Raw genomic sequence first — 24,627 nt, 5'->3', positions numbered from 1 at the left:
CACACTGAAGTTTTTGGTCATTTATTAATTTTATTGCCAAGAGTGGCACAAAATTAATGTATTGATATACCCACTTACCTTTTTACTCCAAATTTAACCAAAGGAAGGAAGCAAAATACTTAGTTTTATTCAGAAGCTTCGTGGTATCAACACTTCTGATCAAAATCTAGAAATAAAACCCCTGGTTCTTATATTAATAAGCTACATATTGTCACCTGATTGACAAATTAAAAGAATAAAAATTGCTTCCTTGAGGAGAAATGACTACTTTCAATTCTGGTTTATATTATTATTATTTTTCCTTTCTCAAAATGATGACAAGAGTTTAAGTTCTGAGATTATAGTTCCTAAACTTGGTTCTTGTCATCAAAGAGGAAATAATTTAACAAGTTGTGCCTCTTTTTGAATCTTTTTCTTTTTTAATTTATCTTCCCCTTTTGAGGTAAACATAACCACATTACATGTTTTTTAAATTTTCTTGAACAAGTGAAATGGTTGTTCCCAACAATGAGTTATTAAGATTATAGGAAAAAACCAATACTAGTTTTGGAATATTTTAAAGAATTAACTTCTGATATAACTTGCAGAATATAATGAGTGACATAAAAAAGTGAAGATTATGTAATCTCTTTTGAGTTCATTTCAGTATAAACTTAACATTCACCTTAAAATAGACAAGACGAAGATACTAGACTGTGTTTTCATTGGCATAATGAAGGAGACACTGAGTCATCATACTTTATTGTACCATTATATTCTTATCCTTTCAGGAAATTATAGCAGAAAATTTAAGAAATACAGTTTCCCTATATCTTTTTTTCCAGTAACTATTTAATTTGAAGCTAAATATACCAGCTTAAAGCAACTTCTTATATGCGTATAACTTAGGCTAGTATTAGAAACACTAATCATCATTCTCAAGGTGACCAGTGGGTCTAATTAGAACTAGATAGGGAATATCATCACCATGAGGGAAAATGCATTCAATGATTTCCTATTTGAAAGCAGAAGTTATATGCTATTTCTTAGCACCAAAACTCTAGATGTTAATATCAATATTAACTTCTGAGTAATAGCATAGCATAGAAGTGAAGTACAACAATAGAATCAGACAACTTTGAGTCTAATCCAGTCTTGATTAATTTTTAATTGGGCAAATTATTTAGTATCTTTGGGCTTCAGATTTCTCATCAGCAGGATATGGGTAAAGTACCTATATCAGAGGGTTGTGGTCATGATTGAATGATCTTATACATGTAACATGCTTCCTGAGAGTTAATGGCCTAGAGGGGATAATAAACTTGCAAATAGTAATTTGGGTTATGATATGTAGTAAGATAAAGATGTTCATAGAAGAATGGAGAAGAAATTCTCAAAAAACTAAAAACTTAGAATAGAAGTCTCTAGAGGAAATAATGCTTGACCCAAGACTTCCTGAAAAATCCTCATTGTCATAACTGCCCAAGAAAAATTTATGAAAAGTTGATAGCATGAGAAAGGTACTAAGGTGTGAGAGAATGAGTGTGCAGATAAATTACTATAATATAAGGCACAAAGTACAGTATAAGTATAGAAAGTGCCATGGCTTATAGAATAAATGTACTTTATAGAAAATGCTATGGCTAATAGAAGAAATGTACATTATAGAAAATACTATGGCTAATAGAAGAAATGTACATTATAGAAAATGCTATGGCTAATAGAAGAAATGTACATTATTTCAAAGTAAGGCATTTAAGACAGGCTCTTTGGAAGCAGCCTTATTTGGGCTGTGTGTAGTAAAGAGTGAGTGATTTTAAAATGGTCATGCTTACTAGTCCTTTTATTAATTTTTTAATGTTTCTTAGCGGCTGGGAATCCAAAATGCCTTACCCTTTTACATGCCACTTTAAGAAAACCTGTATTTCTTACAAAATTTGCATTTATTTTTGAATAGGTAATATATGCAATTGCTATAAATGTTAAAAGGAAATGAAAAGTATAGTTTTCTCATTTTCTGTTTCCCAACATTGTAAATTTTCTGTGTATTCTTTTGCAAGTAGTATATACATTTCAGTCATATATACTCATTAATTTTTAAATTTTGTTCACAAATGCATATAATATGCATGTGTGGGTACCCACACATATGTACTGTTCTGCATTTTTTCACTCAACAATATACCTTGTAATAGTGCACTCAAGATTTCATTTTTATTATATTAACTGCTCAGTATTTCATTGTATGAAGGTGCTATAGTTTAGCTACAACAACTCTACTTATGGACCTCTAATGCATTTCCATTTTTGTAGATATTTAATGCATTTTCATTTTTAATTGCCATAAGTTTGCAATATAGGCTTTTATTATATGTACAACCTATGACTTGGGAATATAGTGACATATATTAAACTATTTCAAATAGTGAGCCATCCTGAGATTTCTGAAAAAAGTTCTAATTTCATTTGTGATTTGGCTGCTGGATTCTATGGGCTAATATTTGGAAGGTTCTCATATTCGTACCATGAATAGTATTTTTGCTGTGATTTTTACCCATGGCTATTTTTTGGAGCAGTGCATATTAGCATTATTAATAAAAGCTTTCTTTTTTCTTCCCCAATGTTTGGAACAGTTTATATAGGATTAAAGCCATGAGTTTCTTAAAGGAGTATTTTAGAATTCCTCTGTGAATGCGTTTGTGCCTAGTAGAATTGCTTTTTAGAAAGTAGGATGTTTAACAATCTTCTCCTTGAATAAAAAATATAGTAAGGTATTTGGCTCATATCTTGTTATTCACAAGCCAGGACAGTCTGTTGTTCACCTCTTGGCATGTACTCTATTTTGGGGAGAGCTGCATACTCTGAGAACTGCAATTGAACGAAGATGGACACTCTCGATGGGATTCCACTGACTGATCAATGTTCATCGCAACTGATAGCTCTTCCTAATTTTTCTGTGTAGGCGTTACAGATATTTTTGAATTTCAGAAGAAATGAGTTCTGCGTTTCTATGTATTTTCTTCTGCCTTGCTTTTGGGTGTAGTTTTAAGAATGAAGAATTAGAGTATCTTCTCTCTGAAATATTTTTTTTCCCAGAACATATTGATTCTGTCTAACTGAAACTTTTTAGCCTTTGACCAAAATCTCCTAATTTATCCTATTCCTGTAGCAACAACCACTCTATCCTCTGCTTCTATGAATTTGCCTTTCTCAGATTCTGCGTATGCAATTATGTGGTATTTGCCTTTCTGTACCTGACTTATTTCACTTAACATAATGTCCTCCAGGTTCATTCATTGTGTTACAAATGATAGGATTTCCTTGTTTTAAAAGGCTGAATAGGATTTCATTGTCTATATATACCAACTTTTCTTTATTCATCCATCCAGTGATGGACACTTAGGTTGGTTCCATATCTTGGATATTGTGAATAATACTGCAGTGAACTTGGGAGTGCAGATGTCTCTTTTACATATTGATTTAATTTCCTTTTAATATATATCCAGAAATGGGATTGCTGGACCATATGGTAGTTCTATTTTAAATATTTGAAAAACCTTCATACTGTCTTTCTTCCTCAATGTCTGCACCAATTTACATGCCCATGAACAATGTATAGGGTTTCCATTTTCTCCACATTATTTCCAAAATAAGTCTTTTCATAATAGCCATCCAAACAGGTATAAGGTAATATCTCATTGTGGTTTTGATTTGCACTCCCTTGATGATTAACAATGTTGAAAAATTTTCACATATCTATTGACAATTTATATGACATCTTTAGAAAAATGTCTTTTCATGTTCTTTCCTCATTTTTAAATTGGGTTATTTTAGGGTTTCTTGCTATTAACTTGTGTTGTTTCTCATATATTATAGTATTAACCTATAATAGATATATGATCTGCAAATACATTCTCCCATTCCATAGGTTGGCTTTTGATTTTGCTGATTCTTTCTTTTGTTGTACAGAAACATTTTAGTTTGATATAGTCCCACTTGTTTATTTTTTCCTGTGCTTTTGGTGTCATATCCGAAAAATTATTGCCAAGACCAATGTTAAGTTTTCCTTATGTTTTTATCTGAGGGTTTCATAGCTCCAAGGCTTATGTGTAAGTGTTTACTCCATTTCATGTTGACTTTTGTGAATGATGTAAAATAAAGATACAATTTTACTTTTTTGCATGTAGATATTCAATTTCTCCAACAATATTTATTGAAGAGATTATCCTTTCCTCATTGTATATTCTTGGTACCCTTGTCAAAGACCAATTGACTATATATGCATGGGCTTACTTCTGGGCTTTCTACTCTGTTCCATTTATCTATGTGTCTGTTTTTATGGAAGTACCATGCTGCTTTAATTCCTATAGCTTTGTAGTATACTTTGAAATCAGGAAGTATGATGTCTCCAGCTTTGTCTATTTTGGTCAAGATTACTTTAGCTCTTTCTGTCATTTGTGGGTCCATACAAAATTGAGAATTGTCTTTTCTATTTCTGTAAAATATGTCATTGGAATTTGATAGGAATTGCATGGAATCTGTGACCTCTTTGGATAGTACAGACATTTTGACAATATGAAGTCTTCTGATCCATGAATACTGAATAGCTTTCCATTTATTTGTCTTTAAAAATTTCCTTCATCAATATTTTATAGTTTTCAGTGTACAGATTTTTCATTTCATTGTTTAAATTTATGCCTAAGTAGTTTTTAAAATGTTGTTATACATGGGACTATTTTCTCCATTAACTTTTGGATAGTTCTTTGTGTATAGAAATGTTATTGATTTTTGTATGTTGATTTTTGTATCCTGCAGATTTACTGAGTTTTTTAATTAGTTATAACAGGGTATTTTTTGTGAAATCTTAGGGTTTCTGATCATGTCGTCTCATCTGCAAACACAGACAATTTTACTTCTTTCTTTCTGATTTGGATGCCTTTAATCTCTTTCTCTTACTATGACTTCTGACACTATGTTGAAAAGATGTGGTAAGGGTGAGTTGAATCATCCTTGTACCACAGGGATAAATTCTACTTGATCATGGTGAATAATTCTTTTTATGTACTATTGAATTTGGTTTGCTAGTATTTCATTGAGGATTTTTGCATATATGTTCAGGGATACTGACCTGTAATTCTCTTTTCTTGTGATATTCTTATCCTTTTTCTCTTTTTTCTTTTTCTTTTTTTTTAAATCAGGATAATGCTGGTTTCCTAAAATGAGTTTGGAGAGTATTCTCTCCTCTTCAATTTTTCAAAAAGTTTGAGAAGTGTTGGCATTAATTATTCCTTAAATATTTGGTAAAATTCATAGATGAAGCCATCAGGTCTTGGGCTTTAATGGGAGAATTTGTTTACAGATTCAATCGCCTTATTTGTTATTGGTCTGTTCAGATTGTCTATTTCTTCATTTTTCAGTCTTGGTAGGTTGTATATTTCTAGGAATTTGTTCCTTTCTTCTAGGTTTTTCAATTTGTTGGACTATAATTATTCAGAGTAGTGTTTTATGATCCTTTGTATTTCTGTGGTATCAGTTGTAATGTCCCCTCTCTTATTTCTAATTTTATTTATTTGAATGCTCTCTCTTGTTTTCTTAGTCTGGGTAAAAGTTTGTCAATTTTATTTATTTATTATGAAAACAGAACTCTTTGTTGCATTTATCTCATTTTTTTTCTGGTCTCTTCCGCATTTATTTCCGATCTGATCTTTGTGGTTTTCTTCCTTTTTACTTAGTTTGGTTTTTTTAGTGTTTTGAAACATAAAGTTAGTTTGTGTCTTTGAGATCTTTATTCTTTCTTCACATAGGTATTATCACCATAATTTTCCTTATTATTGTGGATTATGCTGCATCCCATAAGTTATGGAATGTTTTGTTTTCATTTTCCTTTGTCACAAGATATTTTTAAATTTTGTTTTACTTTATTTATTGGTCCATTTGTTATTTAGTAGTATGCTTTTAATTTTCACAAATGTGAATTTTCCATTTCCACCTGTTATTGGTTTCCAGAAAACTGCACATTTTCTGTCTTACTAACATTGTAATCAGTAAAGAGGCTTGATATACTTTCATTTGTCCTAAATTTAAGATTTTGTGTTATCTATCTTGGATAATGTTCCATGTATAATTAAGAATAATCTGTATTCTACTGCTGTTGTATAGAATGTTGTGTATATATCTGTTAAATCCATTTGGTCTAAAGTGTAGCTCAAGTCCACTGTTTCCTTATTAATTTTCTGTCTCAATAATCTGTGCATGGCTGAAAATGAGGAATTGAAATCCTCTACTGTTATGGTATTCTTGTCTATTGCTGCCTTCTGATCAGTTAATATTTGCATCGTATATTAAGATACTCTGATATCAGGTGCATATACATTTACAATTGTTATAGCCTCATGATGAATTGACTTCTTTATCATTATGTAATGATCTTCTTTGTCTCTTTTTACAATTTTAGACTTAAAGTCTCTTCTGTCTGGTATAAGTATAGGTATCCCTACTCTCTTTGGTTTTTATTTGCATAGAATGTCTTTTTCCATCCCTTCAGTATTAGTTTATGTATTTCCCTAAGTTCTAAGTATTTCTCTTGTAGGTACCATATTGTAAGTTTTTGTTTTATTTATCCATTCAGGACTCTGCAGTTCAGTTCTCCTGGTAGCCCTGCACCAATCCAGTTCTTCCCTCCCCTTTTCTTGCTTTAAGTTCTCAAAAACTGCAGAATATGCTGAGAATACAATATCCTGGGATAAGGAAGAACTGGCCAGAAGAGGTTGGGTTTTGTTCCTTTTCCTCATAGTAAAGGATGTCCTACAACAATTTCACTCAGCATATCAAATTTCTCTGGGGTATAAATCCTAGAGTAGGCCACTTTTCAGGTCTCTCAGTTGCAGTATAGATGGGGCATGTGCAGGTGAAATTTCATTTATCCTGGGCAGCTTTCCTAAGCAGGGGGGACTAGTTCACCATGAATCCTAGGCTTCTACAGCCCCTTTCCTTTCTATCTATTAGTAATAAATCTGCATCATGTAATTTGTTGTGTGAGTATTTTTTTTGTTTAATTGGACTTGAACAAGTAACCGAAATTGCATCTCAAGATGCAGTAGGCTAAAGTGGCTCAGCAAATAGGCTTTGCATGTTTTATATCTTTGATTGTAGAAAGTAATCTAATTACATTTAAAGTAATTGTGGACAGGCAAGGACCTACTATTGCTATTTTTTAGGTGTGTTTTGGCTTTTTTGTAGATTTGTTCTTCTCTTTTTTTCTTTATAATTGGAAAATATTTTGTAGTGGTATCCTTTGTTTCCTTTCTCTTTATTTTTGTGTAACTGCTATAGGTTTTGGTAACAATGAGGCTTACATAAAACATCTTACATTTATAGCGGTCTATTTTAACCTGATAACAACATTACTTTTATTGCATAAAAAACTACATTTTTCCCCTCCCACATTTGTTTGATGTCATAATTTACATTTTTGTACATAGCATCCCAGTTAATAAATTATTACAGTTGTATTAATTTTTAACTATTTTTGTTTTTTTAATCTTTACACCAAGTTATAATTGACTTACTATCCCTACTACAGAATTAGAATATTCTGAATTCTCTGTTAACTTTACCAGTGAGTTTTATAGTTTCATTTTTTGTCATGCTTCTCGTTAGCATCATTTTATTTCAGCTCAGAGACCTCTTTTTTTCAGCAGTTATTGGCATAGCAGGTCTAATGGTGATGAACATTCTCAACTTTTGTTTTTATAGAAAAGTTTTATCTCCCCTTCATTTGTGGAGGATACCCTTGCCAAATAAAATATTCTCAGTTGGCAGTGTTTTTTCTTTCAGAAATTTGAATGTATCATCCCATTTTCTCCTGGCCTACAATGTTTCTGCTGAGAATTCTGCTGATAGTCTTAATTACTGGTGTTTGAAGCCTCTTTTCTCATGCTACTTTCAAACTTCATTCCTTGTCTTTTATTTTGGACACTTTGATTTTAATTTGTCTTAGTGAAGTATTTTTTGGGTTTAACTTGTTTGGCAACTTTTGAGCTTCATGTACCTGAAGTCCGTATTTCTCCCCAAATCTGGAAAGTTTACAGCCATTACTTATTTAAATAATCTTTCTGCCCTTTTTCTCTTTCTGTTACTCTCATAATATGAATGTACCTCTTTTGACAGTGTTCTATAAATCCCACAGCCTTTGCTCATTCCTTTTAATTCCTCTTTTTAAATTTTATCCTCAACTGGATAGTTTCCAATGACCTATCTTGAAGTTCACAGATTCTCTATTCAGATTGATCAAGTTTGTTGTTTATGCTCTCTATTACATTTTTATTTCATTCATTGTATTTTTCATCTCCATAATTTATTTTTAACATGATTTTATCTTTTTATTAAACTAGTTGTTTTGTTCATTTTTTAAAAATTTCAGTGAGTTGTCTATGTTCTCTCATAGTTCACTGAGCTTACTTAAAACAATTATTTTAAATTCTTTGTCAATTCATGTATCTGCCTTTATTTAAGGTTGGTTAGTGGAATATCATTGTATTTCTTTGGTGGTATCATGTTTTCCTGATTTTTTTTTTTCATTTCTTGAAGTTTTGCCTTTCTGATTTTACATTTAACATGCAGTCTTCTCCTCCAGTCTTTATTGCCTAGTTTTAGGAGATAAACAGCCTTATCAATTAAATTGACTAGGAATTCTGAGGTTCTCTCAGACTTTTTCTTAATGAATATCCCTTCTCCACAGCTCTTGTTTTCATTCAGGTGAGAGATTCTTAAGACTATAGGCTTTCTCTGTGTCCTGCAAAATAAGCCAGGTGCTGAGATCCTCTTGTTTATTTTCCCTACGGTTGTGTTCTGAAAGTCTCATTTGTACACCTTCTCCCAACCCTGCAGAGTTTAGCTGGTTGTTTGCATGAGATGCTTGCACTCACTGTATCCAGGGGTAAGCTCAGAGGGCCGGCATAGGAGCGGAATGGAGGTGAGGCATGTGGAGCATTTGTGGTTCCCATAGGCCAGTTTCAAGGGGTTCTATAGATGAGGCAAACTAAGTATGTCATAGGCAGCCTTCCTGATAGAGTTTGCAGAGCAAGCAGTAGGGCACACAGCCTCTCATCCCTATCTCCACCCTCTCCAAATCACTCAGCTGTGCTGATCACCACAGTTTTCTGGTTGAGGCAAGAAAGAAAGGGACAGCATCTCTCTTGCCTGCTTGTGTACCATCTGCATGGCTGAGGGAGCTGGACACTTCCTCACTATACTCTTTTTCCCTCATGGGATAAATTGATAGTCAAGTGTTTCTCTCTTTGCATTGAGCTGTACCTTGGTAAAACTGTGACATGGGTAAAGGAAAACTATTCTTATTACTCCTTCAATTCATCTGTTTTTGGATTGTTTGCTTGCATGATCTCCTAGAACTTCTCTGCTGAACTCCTAGACTACTTCATAGGTACTCTTATCCAAGGGTAGTTGTCAAAATGGATGATTTTTGTGGGGAGGAAGATGACATTAAAAAGCTATAATTCTATTATCTTACTGACCTTACCTTTCTGTCTTTGAAACTAAGTATAGATTGTTATGGATTGAATTGTGCCCCTCAAAAATTTATTTGTTGAAGCCGTAACCCCCAATGTAAATGTATTTGGTGATAGAGTCTTTAGAAAGGTAACTATGGCCAAATGCGGTAATAAGGGCAGGGCTATAATTTGATAGTATTGAGATCTTTATACAAAGAGGCAGAGACACCAGAGATATCTCTTCACACACACACAGAGGAAAGAACATGTGAAGATGTTCACAGACCAAACAGTGGTCCAGCTGCTTGTTCTCTCAGTTCAATAACGAGATGCAGACAGACTGGGAAAGAAGGGAGTTTATTTCTGTAACTGGTTGCAGGGAAAAGTTTGTAGTAACTCACCAGACGAACTAAAAGTTACAAATTTTTTCCAGTGCTTATATATACTCAGTACACCTACAAGCTGAAAGCCAAAGTGTTTTACTCTATTCTTTGACTAGGGTCCCGGGTTTAGACAATTACTTCAGAGGCTTGGAAAAATTACTTAAAATATCATCTAAAGTGAATCCTGGTACAACATGTGCAAGAATGTCTTCATTATTTTAAAAACCTTAGGATCTAAGAAAGCCCAGGTGAGGTCATAATGGACTTGTTTTACTTTCCAGCCCTTTGCACTAAGGCACTAGTTTCTCCAGTTCTTTAATGTTAAACTTATACATTAATCAGAATTACAGCAAGTGTTGGTAAAGACCGAGAGCTCTGGTTCCTAATGGAGACCTGGCCTGCCACAAAGACACAACAAAAAGGTGGCTGTCTCTAAGCTAGGAAGAGAGACCAGAAACTGACTCTGATAGCACCTTGATGTCAAGCTTCTAGTCTCCATAACTGTTTTTTAAAAATCTGTTGTTTAATTCACCCAGTCTGTGCCATTTTGTTATAGCAGCTGTAGTAGACGTATATAAATTACATGAAACTCATTGTTGATAAATTAATAGGAAATTTTAAGTTCTTAATATTTGTCTAAATCATGATCATGTTTCCTTTTTTTCAGAAATAAAATTCAAAGCTTTAGTGTTTATCCTCAAATGGATAATAGAAGGAATATAGATACATTGATTAGGTGTCGATGTTAATATCTGATAAAATCTAAATAATCTAATTTTTCAAGGCGTTCTTTAAGTCCTAAGATTCCTATGTACAACAGTATTCTATAGGAACTACTTTTCTAATATAGCAGCAAATAATGAGATGACATGTTAAAGTAGCCTGTGTAGAAGCCAGAGTTCTACTTATTACCATTTTCAACTACATTTAATAACTATTGAATATTTAGTACTGACATTGAAATATTTATTTAGTCACGTTCTTTAGCTGAGTACTTTGTGCAGCTGATTTCAATATGTAATTTTAGTATTCTCCAAAGGCTATTTTTTTTTTTGAGAAGGAGTTTTGCTCTTGTTACCCAGGCTGGAGTGCAGTGGCGTGATCTCGGCTCACAGCAACCTCCACCTCCCAGGTTCAAGCCGTTCTCCTGCCTCAGCCTCTGGAGTAGCTGGGATTACAGGCATGCGCCACCACGCCCGGCTAATTTTGTGTTTTTAGTAGAGAGGGGATTTCTCCATGTTGGTCAGGCTGGTCTCGAACTCCGGACCTCAGGTGATCCACCCACCTTGGCCTCCCAAAGTGCAGGGATTACAGGTGTGAGACATGGCGCCCGGCCTCCAAAGACTATTATATAAGGCCCACAGTTTTGTAATTAGTAACACATAAAGAGGTGAAGGAAGATAGTGCATGTGTATATGTGTGTGAAAGGAAGAGAAGAGAGATTCTGAAATATTTTTTTCTGGATTTTTAAGACAATTTAATATTCAGTACTCTTTCAGAAAACATTTTACAGTATTTATTTTCATCTCTATACTTTAGATCTGGCCATTTATCTGGTTTCAGGAAATATATAATTACCCTATGTGACTCTTTTCATGGTTCTTAATCCTTATTGATGATACTTCTTTTCTTCTTTTGACTTATTTAGATTTTTTCCATTAGTCAAAGTTCAGATATTGTTATAGGCTGAATTATGCCACATCTTCCAATTCATATTTTGAAGCCCTAATTCCGAATTTGACTATGTTTGGAGAGAGGTATTTAAAGAAGTAATTAAGATTAAGTGAGGTCATAAGGGCAAAGCCTTCATCCCATAGAATTGGTGTCGTTTTAAGAAGAGAAACAGATCCCAGGTGTCTCCCGCAATTCACATGCACACAAAGAAGAGGTCATGTGGCATGATGGTAGCTGCCTACAAGCCAAGAGAAGAGGCCTCAGTGAAAGCTACCTTGCTGGCAACTTGATCTTGTACTTTCAAGCCTCTAAAACTGTGAGAAATAAATTTCTGTTATTTAAACCACCCATAGTTAGGCATTTTGTTATGGCCGCTCTAGTAGACTAAGGTAGATACTAAGCCCAACATTCAATAAAACAAGACAATTTGTGCCTATTTACTGTCCTTTATGAAACTATTTTTGTCATAATTGTGTAGTTTTAATTCATACTTTCTTTGATTTTTCTCCTCAACTAAATTTTAGACACTGAGGGCAGTTATCATCTCATGTTAGTTTTGTATGCCTATCAGAGAGGTGACTACAAAAATACAACACTTGATAGTTCTTGTAATTTGATTCCTTAGGGATTCTGAATGCTCTAAAGATGACAATTTAGCTGGAAAATTTTGCAGTTTCTTTTTTATTTCTGAGTGAAACTTTAAGGTAAATGACTTGATAAATATCTCAATATGTTAAAGATAAGTATTCTTAACCAGATATTCTGGATTTAATAATAAAATAGATAAAGAATGAATATTTAAATCAAGTTTATCTTATTATGTAAGATAAGATAGGTATTTATCTTACCTATCTTAAAAATACGGAAGTAAAATGAGATGAAATAAATGCAGTTGCATTTTTTATGATGGCTATGTTGTCAATAAATAGTATAGAAATTTAAAATTAACATGTAACTTATTTTTATCATTTTTTGAAGGAAGTTTGTACGTAGATATACAGTATATTAGAAAAATGATTGAGAAAAGATTGCTTTTTTATTTCAAAGAAAATATTATTTCTAATAAGTAATCCTTGGCCTTTCAGCATAACATTTATATCTTTGTCATAAGTCAGTACAAATATAATTTTGAATGCATGGATAAACAAATATTAAATTTAGACAAAATTAAATTAATTACCACGGGTAATATAATGACATAACTTCCATAAGTTATTACAACATGACATCAAACCTGCTGGCTTTAACACAAAAGACCTATTCTTTAGCTGCTGAGCTGAAAATTGGTGTTGGCAGACAAAAAGAAGCCAATTTCATTTTTAAGAACACAAGTAAATGCTAATTACAAAAAACTGACTTAAAGTTACCAGAGGGAACATTTTTCACCAGTCTTATGAAAAGAACTGCTAGGCAATACTGAATTAATTTAGACATCAAGATATGTCTTTTCATCTTGCATTATATTAGTTCAATATTAGTCTTAGAGGAGATAAAAGCATGAAGTTAAACTTTTCATCTGCTGTATCTTTATTTTTGCCTCTGTAGTATGGGAAATCCTTCCTTTCCATACTGACTGTTGGTATTTTGAGTATGAAATATAATAGGAAAAAATAGAAGTAGAATGTTTAGATTAATAAGTTATAGGACTAATTATATTAGGAAACATTTAAATTTTCATGGACATAATGAAAATGAAACTCAAATAGGTATATACTCATATTTACTTTCTACTGTATTTCATTGAATGATGAATCATGTAGTAAAGAAAAAATATTTGTGAATAACATAAATAAATAACTAGCCAAGAATGATAATAGTCTTCAAGTTCCTATATTTATATTTAGTTGTTTAGTATCATCATTAATCTTGCATTTAAGTTATCAAATTATTTCTCAATTCTTTTATCTGCTTTCTAACATGTTATTAAAATTGTAGACATAGAAGAAAATGTTTTAGATATTGGTCCAGTTTGTATATCAGTTTATTGAGGTTTGTTGGCATTTTCCACATTTAATAAATGAAATAAACCGTGGACAAAAAACTTCTTTTGGAGATTAATTTTAAGGACTTTTTTTCTAAAACAGAAATATATGGTGAAAAACACAAACAAAAGCATTAGATTAAAGGAAACCAATACATCCACATCTGAAAAAAATTTTAACATAGATATTTCTAATTCAATCATACTCCTTGAATTTTAAACATGAATCGTTCTCAGCCTGTTGCTATATATACAGAGAATGTAGTCATGGTACTCTTTTTTCTCTGGAGGAAGTCGTTTGTAGTAAAAACTCATGGAGTTTTCAGTGATTTATTTAGGACCAAATCTATTGAAGAAACTTTAAATTAATATTATAGCCACTTAGAAAAACTTTTAGAGAAAGAAATTAGATTGAATAGCATAGTTTTACTTTATCAAGTACAGGCAAGAACAAAAGATCTCTAGGGGATTATGAATTTGAGAACATCTTACTTTTAGCTTTCAACATGAAATGTTAAAACACACATGGGAACAAGTCTGAAATAAATGCTCACAGAATACAAATTTGTGTGCTTAAGGTGAAACAGAAGAACAAAAAAGGAATACAACATATTAACATCTCAAGAATGAAAAGAAAAGAATGTGGAATCAAAATTTTAGGAGCTGACATTATGGTTATCATTGACTAGGAAATTAAAATATTAATGGAATTTTATATGTTATTACATAAAAATATTGGCAGTATTTTGAAGGTGGGTAAGGGCAATAGATTTAGCCTTCATATAAAGGCTAGTGGAAGTGGCTGAATCAAGAGGGAATGAGTTCCCTATCTGTATAGTTACTCACTCTTCGGCATCAAATGAGAGAGGGGACCAGGTTGAAAGTTAGAACATAGCTACCTGAGGTTTCTTTGCAAGGATCAATGAATGTGTCCTCAACCGTGTGCACTCCCAGCTACTCTGGAAGTCAAAATAGGAGTAACATGCCTAAATACACTTTCAAGTTATGGAGAATGGTAGTGTTCACTTGTGCAGCTGACTTGCTTGAAACAGGCAACATCATTAGAAATGTGTTCATTCAACAAATAAGTACTAAGTGCCTACAATGTGCTAAGAACTTTGACATGTATCAGAATATAGCAGCGAACAAGGAAGAATCTGTTACTGGTCACATGAAACTTATAGGTATATTTTAGGAAAATCTCTGGATTGTGAGAAAGTTAAACTACATGGTGTCTAAATCCCCTTTTAAAATTTCATTTGTCAAGGTGTGATGGGAGTAATTATTGTACAATGATAGGAAAGTATAAGATAGTTGTTTTGTTTGTTTGTTGCCACTGTGATATTCACAATGAAGAACACAATTCTTTTATCCAAAGCGGCCTTAATATGACTACTTCAGCTTTCCACAACCACAATCCAGCACTGTGCAGGAACTTCTCTAGAAACTCTTCATTGTTCATATCCAAATCAAAATCTGTATCTGGATTAATCAAAATCTGTATCAAGATTTTACTTGATAAAGTAAAATCTCCTGTATCTGGAGATTTTAAATAAACTGATCCTCTGAGAAATATTACACATTCTTTCCCTTGGTTTCTAGCAATTTTGTAGTAACTTCTTATTTCAATGAGGCTATCTGAACAGAGTGAAAATCAGTTGAGGCTCAACAAGCACTAACTAAGTCATCATTTAATTCTATGTGCTGATTATATTTTAATTTCTGTACTCATTCACTTTTCTCTATAATAGCGCTTAAAACTTTATGACCTCATATTCTCTGGTCCACCAAGGTAATATCAAATGTATGATAGATATCGCCATCTCATTGAGAATAAAACACTTTGTTTAATAAGGCTTATATTACTTGGCTTTACATCTACTACTGGTTGTTGACGCCTAATGATCTCTTCGATAAACTCATGTATTCCTTGATGTCTTTTACTTTTGCTTCACAATCTTCTTGCCCGCTCTAATTTTGTAGTTCTGAGGGACTTTGATGTTTTTGTGAATAATCTTTTCAATAGCATGGTAATTTGGTTTCTTGATCACCCCTCCTCTAATGATTGTTTTGCCCACCTTGCCCTACTCACTTTCATAATCATACTCCAGAACTCGATTTTTCTTTCTTTATTTTTCTTCTTTATATAAATCTCATTGGAAAACTTTACACAGGAAACAGAAGGTGTTTTGTGCTCCAAACCCCATTCTGGTGAGCTAGTAAGATCTGTAGGGCATATTACCAGGTCAGAGATTGTCAATGACAATCCCAGACCTTTCATAATGTTTCATTGAAAACATGAAGTTATGGAATAATTAACACATGATGATCTCTTATTCTTATATTGTACATGGTCAACAATTGCAACAATTTGTCCTTTAACCTCAGGAGCACTTTTAGCCCACAATCCCAACTACTCTCTCCCTATTCATGGGATCTTTTTCCCTTTAGTTTCCTCTGATTCTAGCTAACATACTATAATTTGTTTTGTATTTTTTTCTTACCATTACTATTAACATTTACCTTTCTCTCCTTTCATTTCTGCTTGGGGAAACCAAGCTAAACCAAATCAAACCAACCCAAACCAAAACAAATACCATGTGTGAGCAAACTCTCTGCCTTCTCTACACCTGCATTGAAACAACTAAACCATGTAGAAAACAATCTCCTAGGCATGCTGATGATACCGCCTGTGTAATCAAAATCATCTACAGCCTCTGAGCCCCCAAACAATCAATTTTTCTGAATACATTACTGTAGCCAACTTGTTGTTCTCCTGTTGTCTACAGTGTTGAAAGATCAAATGTAGGAAAACTTGGATAAAATTGGGAACTCTAGGTGGCAGAAGATGATACAGTAAAAAGAAACAAAGAAAAGAGATGACTAGGACTCCTGGGTTAAAGGTTATATGCGTATACAATTTTGATAGCTACTTCCAGATTATTTTCCCCAGAGGTTGAAGCTATTTATATTTCTTCTAGTAACACGTGACAGCAGTTGTTTCCTCAACCCTTTCCTCTGTTGAATGTTAACAACTCATTTCATATTTCCCAATCCGATGGATACAGATAGTATCTCATTCTTATTTTAATTTACACTTTTCTGAGTAATGGTGAGATGAATTGCCTATTAATATAACTTGCTCGTCTTTCTACTAGGTCATTTTTCATTCTTTTGCAATTTTTAGAATCTCTTTGTTAGAGAACCGTTGTTTTTCTTTTCATATTGTTGTAAATATTGTCTCTGACATTTATCTTTATGTAGATTTTTCTTTTTTATTAAACATAAATCAACATGTTTTATGTGGTTGCATGACTATATATTTTTCATTTGACTCCTGCATATTCTATCTTACTTAAGAAATTCTCACAATTCTGTTGAATCTTCAGTGGTACAGTTTAACAATTCATAGCAGGTGGTTCTAGTGTGGAGCATTTAATAATTCTGGTTCTGTCTCATCCACCTGAACACATAATACCTTTGCCGCTGTCAGTCTGTTCATGCTGTACTGTCCCACTCTATTTGGACTTCTTATGAAACAGGCTCCAATTGTTTCAATAAAACAATGAAATCATTCTTAGTTTTATTATATTTATTCTTCCAAATATTAACTCTTTTGCTATAAATCATCCCCCACTAGTAGCAGATGATATAATGCTCAGAAAATAATTCTAATTTATTTAAAATATTATTATTTTAAATTATTAACACAACAAAGAAATTAGTTTAAATTTTAGGCTATTTCAATAGATAGTACACTTAAGTCATAAAAATCATGGCCTTGGAACTAGATGCACCTTACCATAAATTCTATTCACCACATAAGCAACATAAATAAGCTCCATGAACTTCAGTTTCGACAATTGTAAATGGAAGTATTGAACATTGTTGTTAAGGCAATTAAATATAATGTGTAAATCAAACTGAAGATAGTCACTTATCTGGCACATAGTAAAATGGTAAAATAAAAAGATAACTATTTTTTAAAAGCAATAGTTATTTCAGTTTAAATAGCTAGTGATGTGTTTAGTGATAAGAAATCCTTCCAACATTCTTGGTGGCTCTCTAGTAGGTATTACAGGGCATAGGTAATATCCTTCTCCATCCTTTAAGATGAATTATTCCCCTGATGGTGTCAACTTTTGTAAGATCTTGTCCATATCTCACTAAAATTCATGAGAAGGAAATCCATATCTGATACCACTATAACTGTGCCTGGTAATCTGCACACTGGAAATACTGGGACATGAGCTATGTTTGTTAATCTTGAAAAAATTTAAGTATTAAAAATATTTTCCCATCAGCAAAGCAGCAAAGATTTTATTGACCAATGATATGGATGTTGTTTGTGCTGCCTTTTCACAGTATACTCATACTATTTTTTAGCGTTTCACTTTAACATTTGTCTGTGTGCCAGAAAAAATTGGTCTAAGCAAAATAAGTCAGTCCTTTGAGTATTATTGCCAGGTCAGTGCAAAACCTTGTGAATAAATGTTTGAACTCTGTTTTTTTGTTGTTGTTGCAGAAGAAAAAAGAACCTTTTCTTAATGTGGTTCCATAGATGTGATGCCATAGATGGATCCATATGAAATAATACAGTAACACGTCAAAAGAACTTCAAACACAGTGCAAAAAGCCATCACTGGAAGATAAGTTACCATTTAGAGAACTGTACATAGAAAGGTGTGGGAGGTTAGACTGATGTGCACTGATTTGAAGACACACACTGACATGACACACTCTAATGTCTTTTATCTTTTTTCCCTTAAGGGCAACAAGCACAAAATAGGTCAATCCCATTTAGATTTATTCTGCCATAGATAACTTAAAAAGAAAACTTATTGACATTTAACTTTATTTTATTTTATTTTAAATATTGTCCATTTTTATTTATTTCTCTGGATGTTGAAGATAAGCAAAAGATGAAAGAAGAGTTATGCAATTTAAGAATAATTGTTACTAGAGAAAGTCAATATGAATTAAAATTAAAATTAAATTAAAGTTAAAATTAAAATTAAATATGAAACTATCTTTTGATATGTACTAAGATTTAGGTGGGAATTTGAACTACAGTTTGTAAAAAAAGAATAAATCTAGTAGTATTTTTAAAAATTGCTCTGTGGTCATTATATGTAAAACTTTTGTGTAATACAGACTTTTGCCTTCCCATAAAACATCATTTCTGTCTGGAATGTAATACTGATAGGGTAATGAGGACATTATATTTATACATATTTTATATACATGCATTTCACCTTACATTAATGCAACAACACATTTTTATAATGTAAACAATGACATATAATAATTAAAATTATCGTGATATCCTTCAATAAATATTCAAATGTTCTAGGCAATATTATAAGGACTTTACATATGAAGTAAAATAAATGTCATTATTATCATCATTTTGCTACTGAATGTTATCTTATTTGATCAAGGTCTCAGAGCTAGAAAGTGGTGTCAGTGGGATTCATGTCTATTTACATGAAGTATGCATAGGTACATTTAATAAAGTAGTGAATTAAAGAATAATTTATTGTATATCACCTATGTGCCAAGCGTTTCTATGCCCTGAAATAGAGCAAACAGTCAAAATCTCTTCTTCCCAGAAATTCATACATAGGTTTTAGATAAAAATATTAAACAACTAAATAAGTATACACTGTATTGCCAATTAGAGGTGTATGGTATGAAGAAAATTAAAGTACACCAAGTGATAGGGATTTGAAGGTTTAGAATGAGCTTTGAGAAGGTGGCCTCTGAACAGAGACCTGAATACTGTATAGGAATGACCCATGCAGATATGTGGAGGAAGAGAATTACAGGGAGAAAGAAGAGCAAGTCTCTACGCTTTAGGTTGCCCCAAGCTTGGAATAGTAATGAAAAGCAAAATGACCAAAGAATGGATCATAGGAAGAGGGAGAAAGAGTAGTAGGAAAATGAGATGATTCTGAGAGTGAGCATGAGATCAGATAGTGTACACCAAGGTAAGAATTCTGTATTTTATTCTAAGGGTGAGTGGAAATAATTAGAGAGTTGAGACCCGGAGAGTGGCTGGATCAGATTTGTATTTTATAAAGGTGGCTTTGAGTTCTGTGTGATCGATCGCCATTATGGAAAGACCAGGAACAAGGCTGTGTCTGTTTTCTGCATTCGTTGTCATGAGAAATGCTGGGGGTTAGACTATTTGAGGTGGTGGTGGGAGTAATTCTGGATAGATCTGATTGATTAATGAATTGCACTGGCCTCCTTTTCCTTGCAATATTTAGAGTTACACAAATATGCCATTGTTTCAGTTTTTTTTTCTTTCTCTAGAACAGGTATACTGCTATACTTTGAACAGAAGAGACAGCTCAATAAATGCCTATTGAGTAAATGAATGACAGAAATGTATCTCTTTCTTATTTTGCAGATCTATTTTCACATGCAGTATTGAATAATGTATTATCTCAATGTACTGTGGTAAATTCATCATATTCCATAGCTTCAAGGTCATCTTTTGTCTATACTTGTCTAAGTAATCTTAAAATGTGACATGGAGCATTGGGCTTCAAAATAAATACTATTTTCTTGAAAAGTGAATATCACCCTATCTTCTAAACATCATCAATGCTAACCCTTATTGTTGTATATTTATCAAATACCCAGCAGATGAATTGTTACACCAATCTTAATACTCTTTATTAGATCTGGGGAAAAGTCCAAAGAATTATTAAAACATTGGATAAAAAGAAAATTTCTAATGCTTCCATTATTTTTATCATTACAGGTTTTAAATGATAAACTAATAATTTCATTTTCAGTATAAACAATGTATGAAGAACCTGAAAAAGATATATTTTCTTAAGACTGTTAAATTGTTTTTGAACACTATGCTGAATATACAGATTTTTTTTTTCCCTGGCACTTTGCCTCTTCCTTGCTTTTGTGAGACATGTTTTTTTCTCTGAATCACAGAAACCATAGATGTAAAGGTGAAGAGTGTCGGCAAATACACTTTCTGCCATGTGGAAAAAGCTGGCCTGCAGTGAAAGGGAGAAATACAGCAGACACACATGGAGACTCTGAGGCAAGAAACAAAGGTGAGCCCTGGCAGTGTTCAAGCCCCAATAGTGCTTTCCTGGGGCTCTGTTTGGCACCATGCCTATCTTGTAAAGTCCTTGCTTAATGTGAGCTGGATTGATAACAGAGACTTAAATAATACAAACAACTGCTTAAAAGACATGTTCAGAATACTTGGAATAAATGCATGACTCCTCATTGTGAATATTTAACGAGCACATTTAAAATGTAAGGTTCTATAATTTTGTTTAAAAGGAATTAATGTATTTTTATATTATTAAACTATAGATGATATAATCTTTATTTATTGAGAAACTCAGCTACCTCAAAACTGTACAAATGAGAGTCATCACCAGTGATGTCATTAAGTTCCATGACTTTAAAAAAGATTAGGTTGGTGCAAATGTAATGGCGAAAACCACAATTACATTTGCAGCAACGTAATACTATTTCTATGTGATTTCCAAATTTATGTCTGTAGGGCAGATCTTTTCACTTGAGTTCATGCTCATATAACTCATATTCTCATATACCTTACATCCCAACATAAATGTGTAATATGCTTTTGCAACTTAACATACCCATTCTCATTTAACATATGCAATCCTTCTTCACATCCCATTGGCTTGGCCCTCAGTCTGCCCATGATTTGAGCACTCCTCACTACCACCATTATTTCCCTGACACAATCATTTTTTACCAAAATAGTTTAAAACCTTCCTTTTTTCCATTTTTATCACATAATTTTTTTATTATACTTTAAGTTTTGGGGTACATGTGCAGAACATGCAGGTTTGTTGCATAGGTATACATGTGCCATGGTGGTTTGCTTCACCTATCAACCTGTCATCTATATTAAGTATTTTTCCTAATGCTATCCCTCCCGCAGACACCCACCCCCAATAGGTGCCGGTGTGTGATGTTCCCCTCCCTGTGTCCATGTGTTGTCATTGTTTAGCTCACACGTATGAGTGAGATTGTGCAGTGTTTAGTTTTCTGTGTTTGTGTTAGTTTGCTGAGAATTATAGTTTCCAGCTTCATCCATGTCCCTGCAAATGACTTGAACTCATCCTTTTTGTGGCTGCATAGTATTCTGTGGTGCATATGTGCCACATTTTCTTTATCCAGTCTATCATTGATGGGCGTTTGTGTTGGTTCCAGGTCTTTGCTATTGTGAAGAGTGCCGCAATAAACATACGTGTGAATGTGTCTTTATACTAGAATGATTTATATTCCTTTGGGTATACACCCAGTAATGGGATTGCTGGGTCAAATAGTATTTCTGGTTCTAGATCCTTGAGGAATTGCCACACTGTCTTCCACAATGGTTGAACTAATTTACACTCCCACCAACAATGTAAAAGCCTTCCTATTTCTCTACATCCTCTCCAGCATCTGTTGTTTCCTAACATTTTAATGATCACCATTCTAACTGGTGTGAGACGACATCTCATTGTGGTTTTGATTTGCATTTCTCTAATGACCAGTGATGATGAGCATTTTTTTCATATGTTTGTTGGCCGCATACATGCCTTCTTTTGAGAAGTGTTCATTTATATCCTTTGCCCAGTTTTTAATGGGGTTCTTTGTCTTTTTCTTGTAAATTTGTTTGAGTTCTTTGTAGATTTTGGATATTAGCTGTTTGTCAGATGGATAAATTGCAAACATTTTCTCCCATTCTCTAGGTTGACTGTTCACTCTGATGATAGTTTCTTTTGCTGTGTAGAAGCTCTTTAGTTTAATTAGATCCCATTTGTCAATTTTGGCTTTTGTTGCCATTGCTTTTGGTATTTTGGTCATGAAATCTTTGCCCATGCCTATGTCCTGAATGGTATTGCCTAGGTTTTCTTCTAGAGTTTTTATGGCTTTAGGTCTTATGTTAAAATCTTTAATCCAACTTGAGTTAATTTTTGTATAAGGTGTAAGGAAGGGGTCCAGTTTCAGTTTTCTGTATATGGCTAGACAGTTTTCCCAACACTATTTATTAAATAGGGAATCCTTTCCCCATTGCTTGTTTTTGTCAGGTTTGTCAAAGATCAGGTTGTAGATGTGTGGTGTTATTTCTGAGGCTTCTGTTCTGTTTCTTTGCTCTATGTATCTGTTTTGGTACCAGTACAATGCTGTTTTGGTTACTGTAGCCTTGTAGTATAGTTTGAACTCAGGTAGCATGATGCCTCCAGCTTTGTTCTTTTGGCTTAGGATCGTCTTGGCTATGTGGGCTCTTTTTTGGTTACAAATGAAATTTAAAGTAGCTTTTTTCTAATTCTGTGAAGAAAGTCAATGATAGCTTAATGGGGCCAGCATTGAATCTATAAATTCCTTTGGGCAGTATGGCCATTTTCACAATATTGATTATTCCTATCCATGAACATGGAATGTTTTTCCATTTGTTTGTATCCTCTCTTAATTCCTTGAGCAGTGGTTTGTAGTTCTCCTTGAAGAGGTCCTTCACATCCCTTGTAAGTTGTATTCCTAGGTATTTTATTCTATTTGTAGCAATTGTGAATGGGAGTTCAATCATGATTTGGCTCTCTGTTGATCTATTATTGATGTGTAGGAATGCTTGTGATTTTTCAAAAGCTAGCAGAAGGCAAGAAATAACTAAGATCAGAGCAGAACTGAAGGAGATAGAGATACAAAAAACCCTTCAAAAAATCAACGAATCCAGTAGCTGGTTTTTTGAAAAGATCAACAAACTTCATAGACCGCTAGCAAGACTAATAAAGAAGAAAAGAGAGAATAATCAAATAGACACAATAAAAAATGATAAAGGGGATACCACCACCGATCCCACAGAAATACAAACTACCATCAGAGAATACTATAAACACCTCTACACAAATAAACTAGAAAATCTACAAGAAATGGATAAATTCCTGGACACATACACCCTTCCAAGTCTAAACCAGGAAGACGTCGAATCCCTGAATAGAGCAATAACAAGTTCTGAAATTGAGGCAGTATTTAATAGCCTACCAACCATAAAAATTCCAGGACCCGATGGATTCACAGCTGAATCCTACCAGAGGGGCAAAGAGGAGCTGGTACCAATACTTCTGAAACTCTTCCAAACAATAGAAAAAGAGAGAATCCTCCCTAACTCACTTTATGAGGTCAGCATCATCCTGATACCAAAACCTGGCATAGACACAACAAAAGAAGAAAATTTGAAGCCAATATCCCTGATAAACATCGATGCGAAAATCCTCAATAAAAATACTGGCAAACCGAATCCAGCAGCACATCAAAAAGCTTATCCACCTCAATCAAGTTGGCTTCATCCCTGGGATGCAAGGCTGGTTCAACATGTGCAAATCCATAAATGTAATCCATGACATAAACAGAACCAATGACAAAAACCACAAGATTATCTCAATATATGCAGAAAAGGCCTTCGACAAAATTTAACACCCCTTCATGCTAAAAACTCTCAATAAACTAGGTATCAGTGGAATGTATCTCAAAATAATAAGGCTATATGACAAACCCACAGCCAATATCATACTGAATGGGAAAAAACTGGAAGCATTCCCTTTGTAAACTGGCACAAGACAAGAATGGCCTCTCTCACCAGTTCCATTCAACATAGTATCGGAAATTCTGTCCAGGGCAATCAGGCAAGAGAAATAAATAAAGTGTATTCAAATAGGAAGAGAGAAAGTCAAATTGTCCTGTTTGCACATGACATGATACTTCGAAAACCCATCATCTCAGCCCCAAATCTCCTTAAGCTGATGAGCAACTTCAGCAAAATCTCTGGATACAAAATCAAAGTTTAATACCTTCTAAACCTGTCTTATTTCTTCTTTCATTGTCCTTTTCAGGAAGAATGGTTACAATAAAACAAAAGTTAGATCACTCACTTCTCAGTTAAGAAGTCTTCAATAACTTCCCTTCTTTTTTAGAGTAAAAGCTGAAGTCAGATTTAGCTGATTTCTCTGACCCATCTACTACCATCTCTGGACTCAATTTTTCCTTCTCGATGGCAGCCACACTGTCCTTTCACTGTGTCCTGAATACTCCAGGCAGTTTCCCC

At 33.4% G+C, this 24,627-nt stretch overlaps 1 long non-coding RNA gene across 1 annotated transcript in view; it reads left to right on the top strand.

Annotated features, from left to right (window-relative positions):
• Positions 1–24,627, top strand: part of LINC02307 (long intergenic non-protein coding RNA 2307) — a 395,530-nt gene that overhangs the window by 316,068 nt on the left and 54,835 nt on the right. The window contains exon 2 of the long non-coding RNA NR_187192.1: positions 20,487–20,611. This is a non-coding gene — a long non-coding RNA (long intergenic non-protein coding RNA 2307). The remainder of the gene's footprint in view (positions 1–20,486; positions 20,612–24,627) is intronic.

The sequence above is a fragment of the Homo sapiens genome, chromosome 14 (assembly GCF_000001405.40).
Source record: "Homo sapiens chromosome 14, GRCh38.p14 Primary Assembly".
In the NCBI taxonomy this organism is placed as follows: domain Eukaryota; kingdom Metazoa; phylum Chordata; class Mammalia; order Primates; family Hominidae; genus Homo; species Homo sapiens.
The sequence above is the reverse complement of the archived record's forward strand: the minus strand, read 5'-3'. Positions and strand labels throughout refer to the sequence as shown.